This window comes from Homo sapiens, chromosome 15 (assembly GCF_000001405.40).
Source record: "Homo sapiens chromosome 15, GRCh38.p14 Primary Assembly".
In the NCBI taxonomy this organism is placed as follows: Eukaryota; Metazoa; Chordata; class Mammalia; order Primates; family Hominidae; genus Homo; species Homo sapiens.
The window spans coordinates 32,567,536-32,580,925 of record NC_000015.10 but is presented as its reverse complement, the minus strand read 5'-3'; the positions used below and the strand labels follow the sequence as shown (position 1 = coordinate 32,580,925).

Sequence of the window (13,390 nt, the reverse complement as noted above, 5' to 3'; positions counted from 1 at the left end):
TGAGCCACCATGCCAGCTAATTTTGGTGTTTTTTTTTTGTACAGACGGGGTTTCTCCGTGTTGGTCGGGCTGATCTCAAGCTCCTGACCTCGGGTGATCCACCCGCCTCCGCCTCCCTGGGTGCTGGGATTGCAGGCGTGAGCCACCGTGCCCCCGGTCCAATTTAGTAACCAGAAAGGAATAGATCGGCCTGGCGTGGTAGCTCATGCTTGTGATCCCAGTACTGTGGACGGCCGAGCGCGGCGATCGATTGAGCCTAGGACTTCCAGACCGGCCTGGGCAACGTGGTGAAACACTGTCTTTTTTTTTTTTTTTTTTGAGTGGAGTTTCGCTCGTTTTGCAGGCTGGAGTGCAGTGGCGTGGTCTCGACTCACCGCGGCCTCCACCTCCCGGGTTTAGGTGGTTCTCCTGCCTCAGCCTCCTGAGTGTCTGGGATTGCAGGCATGAGCCACCATGCCAGCTAATTTTGGTTTTATTTTTTTGGTACAGACGGGGTTTCTCCGTGTTGGTCAGGCTGATCTCGAGCTCCTGACCTCGAGTGATACGCCCGCCTCCGCCTCCCTGGGTGCTGGGATTGCAGGCGTGAGCCACCGCGCCCCCGGTCCAATTTAGTAACCAGAAAGGAATAGATCTGCCTGGCGTGGTGCCTCCCCCTTGTGATCCCAGGACTTTGGAAGGCCGAGTGTGGCAGATCGCTTGAGCCTAGGAGTTCCAGACCGCCTGGGCAACATGGTGAAACCCGGTCTCTGTTTTGAGACGGAGTTTCACCCTTGTTGTCCAGGCTGGAGTGCAATGGTGTGATCTTTGCCCACCGCAACCTCGGCCTCCCGGATTTAGGTGATTCTCCTGCCTGGGCCTCCCTAGTAGCTGGGATTACAGGCATGAGCCACCATATCCGGCTAATTTTGTAGTTTTTTTCTTTTTTTTAGTAGAGACGGGATTTCTTCATGTTGGTCAGGCTGGTCTCCGACCTCGGGTGATCCGCCCACCTCTGCCTTCCAAAGTGCTGGGATTGCAGGCCTGAGCCACTGCGCCCGACGGAAACCCAGAACGGAAAACAAAAGAAAAACCACAAAGATTAGCCGGCTGTGGTGGGCCGCGCAGGTAGTCCCAGCTACTCTGAAGGCTGATGGAGGAGGATTGCTTCACCCCGGCTTCTAGGTGGCAGTGAGCTATGATGGCGCTGCTGCACTCCAGACTGGGCGACAGAGCGGGACTCTGTGGCAGGAAAAGGGAAAGGAAAAAAAAAAGAAAAAGAATGTAAATAAAATTGCTAACTCAAGGAACAGCTTGACAGTATATTATTGCGACAAATAGAGGCAAAGGTTAGCAGACACCAGTGTTCACTTAGTGGGACCTGCGGGTGTTCCCCCCATAGGAGGCTGCTACTTTCCCACAAGAAATCCATTACTGACTACCGATAAAAGAACACATCGTAGGTTTCTTACAATATACAAATAGCTAAACTTTATATAGCCACGACCATATTCTAGCACTGCTCTAAGCCATTTCCTACTCTGAAATAGCTACTATTGTTACCTCCATTGTAGAGAAAACAGGTGCCGGAGGCTGTTGTGGAAGGCCCAGGGAAACTGACTATGAAATTGACTTGTTGTAAGTTTCAGACTTAAAAGTTCTTCCTGCTCTGCGCCTTACATTGCTACATTTTAGTTAAGGTACCTCTTACAATACTGGTCCTTTCTGTATTTGGAGGGACTTCTCTTGCAAATTGAAGTTTTTTCTTGCGCTAAGCATTTGGTCATGAGATTATCTGCGTTTTACATCAGTTTAAATACCTCTTTAGACATTGTTCAGTTAGGAATGTAAATAGGAGCTAACATTGTGTGTAAAAGGAAAGAACATCTGATTACAACCACTTTTGTTTCATAATACAAATATAAATCAATATGTTATTGGAAATGCAGGCTGGGAGGGGAGGGAAAATATGCATAGAGAAAAGCCCCATCTCTGCTTGGAGTTCAGCACTGGGTCTCTTTTTCCTTTCCACCTTCCTTGTCAAGGCTGCCACAGTGACAAGCACACAGGGGTGCCTTTAGTGACACCTGCTGCGACAGACCTGGCAGAACGGATTGCAGATTTGCATGTTTCCTGGCTGCCTCTGCTAGCCTGAGTCAGCAGCCCACTCCAATTCATGCTGAGCTTAGACAGCTCAGGTTTGCAAAATTATCCCTTCCCTTGGAGCAACCGCTTTCCAGTCTCCTCATCATTCCTAAAGGAGAATGACACACATGCCAGCATGACAGAGGTCCAGAAATTTATAGAAGCTTCATTGTGAGCCTATATCCTTAACAGGGGTTCAAACTACCAACACCGAATGAAGAGAGAGGTTTTGCAGTAAAGCAGGAAGTCATTAAAATAATGAATCACCCAGCTAGGTTTTGAGCTCCTTTCCCACCAATTTAATGGAAAGTTTTATTGTCTTTACAATGTACACTTTCATAAATTTTGCATAAATTTATTATTCACATCTTAACATAGGTAACTCCTTAGTGTTTGATCACTGAGCAAATTATATACAGCAAAACAATCCGATATTTTGGTGAACTCATAGCTTAGAAAATACTAAAGACTCATTGTAAACTGAGGGCAGCATTAAGCAAATTATATTTACCTTTGTGACTGCAAAACTTAATGATTCAATGCTTTTCCCATGAAATTTATCTTCCAATACTGATAGTTTTTTAAACAAAAAATATGAATTAAATATCAATTAAAATTTTATCATTGTTTTCAGAAACTGTGACTTCACTAGTTATGAACAGACTTGAAATGTATAGTTTTTAAGTTTGGAAATTCTTTGTAGTCTCATTTACTTTTCCAGGAAGGAAGTGAGATATTTTTTGCCACTGTTGCCTGGTTTTTGTTTGTTTTTTGATCATAAACAAAACTTAATGGAGCCTCAAATCTACTAACTCGGTCCTCCTCTGGCAATATGCCTTTTTCTGATTTCTAGATATCACTTGATATTTTTTAACACACTAATTTTATTATTTAAAAATTTATAAAAGTACTCAGAAGTAAGAGGCAAATTAAATTTGAAACCTTAGTGGTAATACCATCATCCAAAGTCATCATCAATAATATTTTGGCATATTTTATTTTAAAATACATTTCAGCACAGTTTAGTTATATTTGTTATATCTGTATCAATAAACTGTTTTCATATGTCATTACTTTTATGGATATAATTTTTGACGTGCGACTAATACGAAATCTTATATACTTGCTATAATTGACCTTGTGAGACATTTAGATTTTCAACTGTTTAGTACTTTAATAACCAGTTTTTATTCTAATATCATTATTAGAATAATATTACTATAGTATTATTATTATTGTAGCAATAACTTGTTTTTAGAATAAATATCCTATTTCTCATTTAACTTGATTGGATCCGTGCATGGACAATTATGTTGGGAACATAGAATGTAACTGGCCCTGTTTCAACCCCTTAGATGTGGCCCTCAGTTCAGGGAAGGGAGGAGTTCTCTACTGGGCTGATAAAGCAGAATTCAGAAACATTGTTTTCTTCTCTACCTGGTGTCTTACAAAACCAGAAGATGTGAGTGTGACTCTTAAAGGCAAGAGCATGTATATTATGCAAAAGCAGCCTGAAATATTTTATTCACAGACAGACAGACAATGCTTGACTCCCTGCTAATCTGAAATACTTCGTGGGGAGGGCCAGGGAAATCAAAACAAAATTTCAGAAGTAGAATGAGCTATTTGGTGTATGTCTCCAAGGCCAATAAATAACAAGAAGGAAAAATAAATTTCTTTGCTAACAACAAGAAGGAGAAATAAACTTTTTTGCTCTAAAATATTTTCCAATTATCTCCACGACACTGGAGGGAAGGACTAACAAAAAAAAAAAAAAAAGAAAGAAAGAAAGAAAAAAAAAAAGAAAAGGAAAAAAAGGTGGGGCATGGTGGCTCATGCCTGTAATCCCAGCACTTTGGGAGGCCAAGGCGGGTGGATCACAAGGTCAGGAGATCGAGACCATCCTGGCCAACATGGTGAAACCTGGCTCTACTAAAAATACACAAAATTAGCCGCAGGCACCTGTACTCCCAGCTACTTGGGAGGCTGAGGCAGGAGAATGGCATGAACCCGGGAGGCAGAGCTTGCAGTGAGCCGAGATGGCGCCACTGCACTCCAGCCTGGGGGACAGAGCGAGACTCCATCTCAAAAAAAAAAAAAAAAAAAAAATTAACCATCACAGAGGAGCAGAGAAAAACCTTCTCAAAGACAGAAGTCATTGATTTATTTCCATCCCGGCACAAGCCCCTTAATTCTGTAACTTGTCCAGAATGGTTTCCTGTCACTGTAGATTCTGCATCAGAACATCCTCTTATGCAAAGCTAAAAAACTCCAAACCACCTCTGTTAACTGTGCAGTGCTCCATGGTTTCACACAGTCCAGAGCTGCTTGTGTTTATCAAAAATGAAGCAGAAAACAAAATTCTTCCTTCACACAACCACTACATTCCATTGCACATTTACCAAAGACATTTACCACGTTGGCATTATTTGTGCATCCATCAAGAAGTGCTGAAAAGCATTCCCCTCACACACTGCATGTGTCCTGTGAGTGGATCTTCCATTTTACTTGCCAGTTCTGGAAAACTTTGAATTTGTGTGTCGATGGAAAATTAAAGTTTAGTAGCATCTTTGCCCCACATTCACCCAACTTTTCTAGGAACTATTTCAATGCTACTTTTCACTAGTGTCACTTTTCAGTCTTAGCCTCCTGGAGTACAACTTTATTAGAAGCCCGCAAAGCACTAGTGTTAAAATGAGAAATAGTAAACATCTGATTCTGTTGTGTTTTAACTCCATGCTTTTCTCTAATGTTTCATTGTTTTGAATTTAATTCTTTGTGCTTCCCACGTGAATGCAACTTACAGTTTGAATGTCTTCTTTCTTCACTAGCCGATGCATCTGTGCCAGTAACACACGGTGATTCTGTCCTTTCACCTTCAGTTATGCCTGTAAAACCAAATTCAAGACAGATGATCCTCAACTCACAAAGGAGTTATAGCTCATCATCAGTTGAAAATATAAGCCGAAAATGCATTTAAGGCCGGGTGCAGTGGCTCAGCCTGTAATCCCAACTCTTTGGGAGGCTGAGGCGGGTGGATCACCTGAGGTCAGGAGTTAGAGACCAGCCTGGCCAACATGGTGAAACGCTGTCTCTACTAAAAATACAAAAATTAGCCAGGCATGTTGGTGCGCACCTGTAATCCCAGCTACTGCGAAGGCTGAGGCAAGAAAATCGCTTGAACCCAAGAGGCAGAGGTCGCAGTGAGCCGAGATCATGCCATTGCACTCCAGCCTGGGTGACAAGAACAAAACACACTGTCTCAAAACATAAAATTAAATTAAATTAAATTAAAATGCATTTAATACACCTAAGCTAACATCATAGCTTAGCCTAGCTTACCTTAAACATTCTCAGAAAATTTACATTCACCTTCCATTGGGCAAAAATTCTCTCTCACAAACCCACTTTAAAGTGTTGAATATCTCATGTAATTTATTGAATACTGAAGTATGGTTTCTGCTGAATGCGTATCACTTTCACACCATCATAAAGTCAAAAAATTATAAGTCAAACCATTGTATGTCAGGGATCATCTGTCCATTAGAAATAGTACTTCTGAGTAAAACGAGGACAAACTCCTTTGGTCTTCATGTCCTCAGAATCACTTTCATAATCATCTCTTGGTTTACAAGGTGCATCTTTTATTGGTTAAAAAAATTAATACAATTTATTTCACTCTCAAATTAGGTTTAATAATAAATAATACAACTTTCTTTTGTTTTCACTAATAATGCTAACATTGGCTTGATTTAAAATTAATATTGCAAAAATAAGACTTTATAGAATAGATGTTCCCATTTTTCAGATGTGTGAGATTATACTATAGTTGACAAACTAACCTTAAAGAACGCAGCTTGCAATGTGGTCCTTGTGTATGTGACTCGTTTGCAGCTCACAGCCTCTGCATCTTTCCATCGAGTCTGACAAAACCTGAGTTGGTCTGTAACTGCTCATTGAGACAAGTCCCCTGATGTCACATGCTGGGAGAATGTCAAGTTTCTATAGAAATTTCTAAACATTTACCCTGAATTTCTATGTTTCTATCATTACATAGAGATGACAGAGTGTTGACAGACTTTGAGTGGTCTTTAGTAACCAATTGTTGAAAGTCTGGTTTAGCTAAACTAGTTTGTAAGTACCTCGGCAGGTGCCTTTGCTGTAGGAATTCTCAGAGTCTCTATAAACTAATGAGCATTGGAAATCTGCAGGGGGGAAACAGAGTATGCAGTATCCCCCATGATGATTCAACCCCAGATTTTATTTTTCACTGAGCATCTCACACTTAGTAGTGTATCTTTTCTATGCATTGGGCACTGGGAGACGACGTGTTGTCATCTCAACAGAGACCTGGCCTTCAGACGCCACCACTCACTGCCGCTCTGTCCAGGCGAGCATCAACTTGCACTGTTTCAGAAGCAAAAGGAAAATGAACCGCAGCCACTGAAGTCCCTCAGAACTGAGGAAAAGTTACTGACTTTCCTGATTTGTGTTCAGTCTGGCTGGCCATGGGTACAGACACAGCTGGTTTCCCCATTTGTGAGCTGGACGGATTTAATTCCTGGCTGTTTGAATGATGTATCCCCTCATCAGTGAAACCAACAGAGTAGCTCAACTTAATTTTCTCTTTCTATGGCATGCCATTTATACCCATTCAATTATGCCTGTGTCAATTAAGTCAAACATTCTTACTGTCTCTATTTCTAATAAAAAGTGGTAAACACTCGAAAACCCCTTTCATAAATAGGCATGTATAAAAGCAATGTTCTTAATAAAAATGTTGGACTTAATAAAAGTATTTTAAAAAACAGTAGGAACCATAGTATAATAAAGGCCTTAGCCGGGCGTGGTGGCTCACACCTGTAATCCTAGGACTTTGGGAGGCTGAGGCGGGCAGATCACGAGATCAGGAGATCGAGACCATCCTGGCTAACACGGTGAAACCCCATCTCTACTAAAAACACAAAAAATTAGCTGGGCGTGGTGGCAGGTGCCTGTGGTCCCAGCTACTCGGGAGGCTGAGGCAGGAGAATGGTGTGAACCCAGGAGAGGGAGTTTGCAGTGAACAGAGATTGTACCACTGAACTTCAGCCTGGGTGACAGAGCGAGACTCCGTCTCAAAAAAAAAAAAAAAAAAAATATATATATATATATATATATAAAGGCCTCATTTTGCAGGTGAGGACACTGAAGATTATAGAAGAAAGAAGGGCTTCATGCAAAACCACGTTCCTGATTGTTGGCGGAACCAAGCCCACAACCTGGAACTCAAGTTTCTCTACTTATAGTAGACGCTCAAAGAATTATAATACTTTATAACAACGTCATAATCATTTGACATTTCTAAGCTGGTCATGTTTTCTTTCATGTGTACTTCTCCCCTCTCAACAATTACCGTGCCCTTGGCAATTTAATAAAGCAGGATAATATTCAACTCAGTGACCTACAGCTTGACAAGCATCTCCTGCTCCCAGAAAACAGAAGGTGTTGCTGTCAAACTAATACTAAATAATAATTTTCTGTAGTCCTAGAGCCTCTGGACTTCCCAATTACACGGCCAATAAACCCCCTCATTGTCTGAGCCAGTCTGAGCTGGGCAGCCTGACTGAAGTCTGGAACATCCTAACTGGCACAAAGGCCCTTAAGATGACCCCAAGCCACCTGTCTGGCTTTCTCTCTTGTCACTTCCTTCTACATCCTCTCTGCAACAACCAAATTAGATTACTCACCATTCCCCACACTGCCTTGTGATTTTCTTTCTTTCTTTTTTTTTTTTTTTGATGAAGTTTTATTCTTGTTGCCCAGGCTGGAGTGCAGTGGTGTGATCTCAGCTCACTGCAATCTCTGCCTCCTGGGTTCAAGTGATTCTCCTGCCTCAGCCTCCCGAGTAGCTGGAATTACAGGTGCCCAGCATCATGCCCAGCTAATTTCTGTATTTTTAGGAGAGACAGGGTTTCACCATGTGGGCCAGGCTAGTCTCCAACTCCTGACTTCCGGCGATCCACCTGCCTCGGCCTCCCAAAGTGGATTTTCTTTTTTTACCCATGCACTTGCCCAAGCTGACTTTCTGGCTCAAACCTTTCCCCTGGCCTTGCATCCTCTCTATCCATCTGCCCAAACCTCCCTCACTCTCCAAAGTCTCATTTCAAATGTTGCCTTTCCCTGAAGCTTCTCCCGGAATGACCCATCTCTCCCTCCTCATTCTGATCATTTCCTCTTTGAATTCCCGTAGTGTTAGGTATGCCCTCCTCTTCCAGCACTGAATCCAGCCTTGCCTCGCATTAGAGTCATTTGTACACCTGACCTTAATCCCCCTGAGGGCAGGGATAGTTTGTGTTTATCCCAAAGTCCTGAAACAACTAGTACAGAACCTGAGACACAGGAAGGCCCCAGAATTGCCTGCCGAATAGAACAGTGATAGTGCTGAATTTGGTTCCTCCTTTAACCTGTGTGACCCCAGACGTTTGTTTTCTATGAAGCCTCAAAACATGGTTATGTTTCCTAATTTACAACGAACACATGGAAACCCATGTTTTGAAAACGGGGGTGGGGAGGATGAACTGAAGGCAGCCTCTTCAGCCAAGTTCCAAAGGCCAGGTGGCCCACTGTGAACCTTGTTTAACCACACAGAACATATGAATAGCTACAACAAGGGATCTAACAGTTACCAGAATGTTTTCAGAAAGGTGACTTCAGAAGTGCCAAGCTTCAGGAAGACCTGGACTGAGAAGGGATCAGACAACTTTAGGAAAGCAGGTACCAAACAGCCCTTTTACAGTTTACACACAGGCCTTGGTGTCAGAAAAATACTGGTTTGAGTACTGGTTATGCATCAGAGATGCCACTCTGGACAAGCTCCTTATGCTCTCTGGGACTCTGCTTTCTCATCTAAAAAATGGGGATCACCTGAGGTCAGGAGTTTGAGACCAGCCTGGCCAACATGGCAAAACCCCATGCCTGCTAAAAATACAAAAATTAGATGGGTGTGGTGGCTCGCACCTGTACTTGCAGCTACTTGGGAAGCGGAGGCAGGAGAATTGCTTGAACCTGGGAGGCAGAGGTTGCAGTGAGCTGAGATCGCACCACTGCACTCCAGCCTGGGCAACAGAGTGAGACTCTGTCTCAAAAAACGGGGCGGGTGGTGGTGGATAATAATAGTGCCTACCTCAAGAGGTTGCTGTGAACACCAGAAGAAGCAATACACACCAAGTGCCTACAGATAGTAAGCACTTGGTAAAAATGTAACTGCCATTAACAATAAATATGATGCTCACAGGGTCAGTGGAAAAAGTAGTGGAAAGTAGGAGTGGTGGGAACAGAACAGGAAGGAACAAAGCACCTCTGAGTAGACCTTTCTGTATAGCTCCGACTCTCCGACTCTTATTATGTTTCACCCTAATAATTCATTAAAACTAGGATAGGAAGGCTGAGGGTGTTTTTGGAATACAAACACTAATGAACCAAACTGCATTATAAATAGTGGCCACACTGAAAGGGATGAAGAAGAAAGTAACTACTTTTTTTTTTTTTTTTTAGACAGAGTCTCCCTTTGTTGCCCAGGCTGGAGTGCAGCGGGGCTATCTCAGCTCACTGCAATCTCTGCCTCCTGGGTTCACGCCATTCTCCTGCCTCAGCCTCCCGCAGTAACTGGGACTACAGGCGCCCGCCACCACACCCAGCTAATTTTTTGTATTTTTAGTAGAGACGGGGTTTCACCATGTTAGCCAGGATGGTCTCGATTTCCTGACTTCGTGATCTGCCTGCTTCGGCCTCCCAAAGTGCTGGGATTACAGGCTTGAGCCACCGCGCCCGGCCCCCCCGCTCCATTTTTTTTTTTTTTTTTTTGAGACGGAGTCCCGCTCTGTTCCCCAGGCTGGAGTGCAGTGGCACAATCTCAGCTCACTGCAAGCTCCGCCTCCCTGGTTCAAGCCATTCTCCTGCCTCAGCCTCCCAAGTTGCTGGGACTACAGGCACCCGCCACCACGCCCTGCTAATATTTTTTGTATTTTTAGTAGAAACGGGGTTTCACCGTGTAAGCCAAGATGGTCTCGGTCTCCTGACCTTGTGATCCACCCACTTTGGCCTCCCAAAGTGCTGGGATTACAGGCGTGAGCCACCACGCCTGGCCTCCCCCTGCTTTACTTGTATTAACCAAATATTTATGAGTCTATCTATCAAGCGTTCAAATTATTTTACATGTAATCGCCAATCTCCAGAAAATAAATGGGACCACAACAAATTTACCCTAATTTCTGCAGCGAGCATAAATAATTGCTTTCAAGGGATGCTTGAATGAAATTACTATCCTGACTGTAGGGGCAGGGGCTTGGTGAAGATTTGTCCTTTGTGAGTAATGAGAAGAGTATACTTGGATATAAAAATAGTGAAGAGATAAGTAGTTTTAAAAAAAACGCTAAATTCCATGTTTAGCAAAGTTAATGAGCCCTAAATTCCTAAAGCTGAGTATTAGTGTGTAAATGAGTACTCCAAACCAACAGAGAATAACCTTGTAATTCATGGATATTTAGCTAAAACTTCATATGTTCTCATCATTCTGTGTCTCCTAGTTTTAGTTCAAACAGATGTTTTCACTCCTAAAAGACTCAAAATTTCTGACAATGCCCTTTATTAATGTTACTTTTTGAGAAATCACTTATTAAGTAAAAATTAAATTTACATTTTTCAAAATTGCATGTTGGGTTAATTTACCAAATCTTTTATCTGTTTTGTGTTTCCAGTTAGCCATTTTTGTTTCTGATTTGTAAATATTCAAAAATATTTGTTGAAATTACAAATTTTATTAATTGATTTTTGAGGGGAGTAGGGTGCGTTAGTTACTTTTCATTTAAATTCTGTGGTGTTTTTGCATATTCAAATTATTGTATTGTGAATAACCTGAAAGACAGTAGCTATATGATCGTTTGAGGTAATGGTAACAATACTCAAGGGTTGAAAAGATATGATTTTAAGTATGAGCTAAGGAGACTGCCCTTTATGTAACTACGGGATGATGTGAAAATCTGTTTTAACAGCATGATTAAATTTGGAATTCTTTTTTTTGAAGTTTTGTAAAAGGGAGGCAGAAGTTTAAGGGAAAAAGTTGGCCAGGTAAACTTGGATAGTTTTAGATCTATTAGTGACAGAATACTCAAGCTCTTGAAAATAGGAAAAGTTGTTCTTGCCATGTCAAAGGACAAGGGCTGCCATATGCTAATCACTGTATCTTTACTCAGATCCTATAAAATGATTTGTACAGAGAAGGGATTTAGTAAATCTTTACTAAATTAATGTTAGATGATGGAATGGATCATTGCGGCTGAAGGAGAGAGTAGTGAAAATGAGGATATTAGGAAAGGAAGTGGATGATTTGCTCAGATGTTGTTAAATTAGGTTTTGATAGAAAAAACCTGGAAAAAAAAAAAAAACGACAACAGCCTGCATGACTTCTTAAAGCCCCCACCTCTCAATACTGTTTCAATGGCAATTACATTTCACATGAGTTTGAAGGGGAACTTAAAACCATAGCAAAGAGCACATTATATTCGTTGTTTCTGTGTAGTGCTGCTCTTTACCAGGCTAATAAATCCTGGTAGACATGCAAGAGCTTGCTCTTAATCCAAAATAAACAAAATGTGTTTTACTGAGAAAATTGCAGACATATCAAAGGGTAGTTTGACAGCACGGGTACAGAATACTATCAAGACATTTTCTTCTGTTTTACATACATGGGTAATTCTTGCTTGAATGCAAGAGGGCTGAATACCAGCTTTATTTAATATATTTTGTGTCAACTTCTGTATACAGATTTTTTTTTCTTGAGGTGAGAGAAGAGGAAAGAGGAGAACGTTAATTCCAGATAGCTTTAAGCAAATGTTAGAAAGGCGAACATTTATAGGTTTCCAAATATCTTTTGGCTAGCTGACATTTACAAACACGGAGCTAGGTAAGCTTTTCCCCCTAGCAATATTAAGGCTCTGGCAGCAAGTAAAGGATATGTGAAGTGAAATATGCCATTCAAACATAGTAAAGAAGAAGACTGTTTGTAACCACCGTTGGTGAAAATCACGAGAACCAAGTCTTTCTTGTTATTTTAAACATCCTATAAAAGCATTGCAAAAGTTTATATTGCTGGTTAAAATATTTGGGACTATTTTGTCCATTTCCACACCTTACTTTAAGGTCCAGGCATTTGTTGAGAGGGAAATTGCCTATTTAACTGAAGGAACAATATGTTTTAAATTACTGAGAGTACTCTGTTGAAACTTAATGAGAACAGAAAGCAGCATTAATAAGAAAAATAGTATTTACAAAGATTGCTTAAGGATGCAAGCTGGGTACCAACTAATTGTAATTCTTTAATTTCGGTATGCGTGCAACATCCCATGTGTATGAAAACAAAATGTGTATTTCCAAGCAGTATGTTTTAGGATCAGAGAATTTCAACCAAATATTAAATTCTCAAATCGTATGCAAACAAGTGTCAATCATGGCTTTAACATGACAGCTGGAGGAAAAAATTCAAGCAACATGTGTAGATAATTGTGGTTAATGTTTATCTGTACATAGGAAGATACTTCAGATGTGTAAGTATGCAAATAACTCTCGGATTTCTAATTACTGTATTTATCAAGTTCTATATGCTGTCTAAATTCAGAAATGAAAGCAATTTTAAAATAGCATGCATATTATAATTACAATATTAAATTGAGCTCAACTTTCCTAGCTATTCTCTGCCTTTCTGTCTGCCTCTGCCTATGTCTCTATCTCACACATGTATGTGTGTATGTGTATATATACCCTCACTTGTGAACATATATTCATAACCACATGTATAAACACACAGTATAAAAGGATATTAGAAAAGGAAGTGGATGATTTGCTCAGATTTTGTTAAATTAGGTTTTGATAGAACAAACCTGAAAAAATACGTTAAAACATATGAGGACATATACCAAAATATTATCAGTAGTTAATTTTAAGACAAGCCTGATGGGTCATTTTAATTTTCTACTTTTTACCTGTCTGTTTTGATTGCAACTTTAAAAATAAGCCTGTGTTACTTTTTAAAGAGAAAGAGAGAGAGAGCAAGATTTGCCTGTTTTGGAAAATTGTTTTAAAGGAACACCACAGGAAATGAAGTCATTCTTAAGTGCCTGCCATTTATATCTAAAAATGGTTTTCAGTAATGGGATAGTTCTAGTATCAGTAGGGAGATCCATTATCACATGCAGATTTAACCTTGTTGTTGCAGGCCAGAAATATTTAAAAC

At 40.9% G+C, this 13,390-nt stretch overlaps 1 long non-coding RNA gene across 1 annotated transcript in view; it reads right to left on the bottom strand.

The window, feature by feature from the left end:
- Nucleotides 1–316: 316 nt before the first annotated feature.
- The window catches only part of LINC02256 (long intergenic non-protein coding RNA 2256), a 43,851-nt gene continuing 30,777 nt past the window's right edge, over nt 317–13,390 (bottom strand). The window contains exons 2-3 of the long non-coding RNA NR_102756.1: nt 4,926–5,009; nt 317–1,218 (exon numbers count right to left, since the gene is read on the bottom strand). This is a non-coding gene — a long non-coding RNA (long intergenic non-protein coding RNA 2256). The remainder of the gene's footprint in view (nt 1,219–4,925; nt 5,010–13,390) is intronic.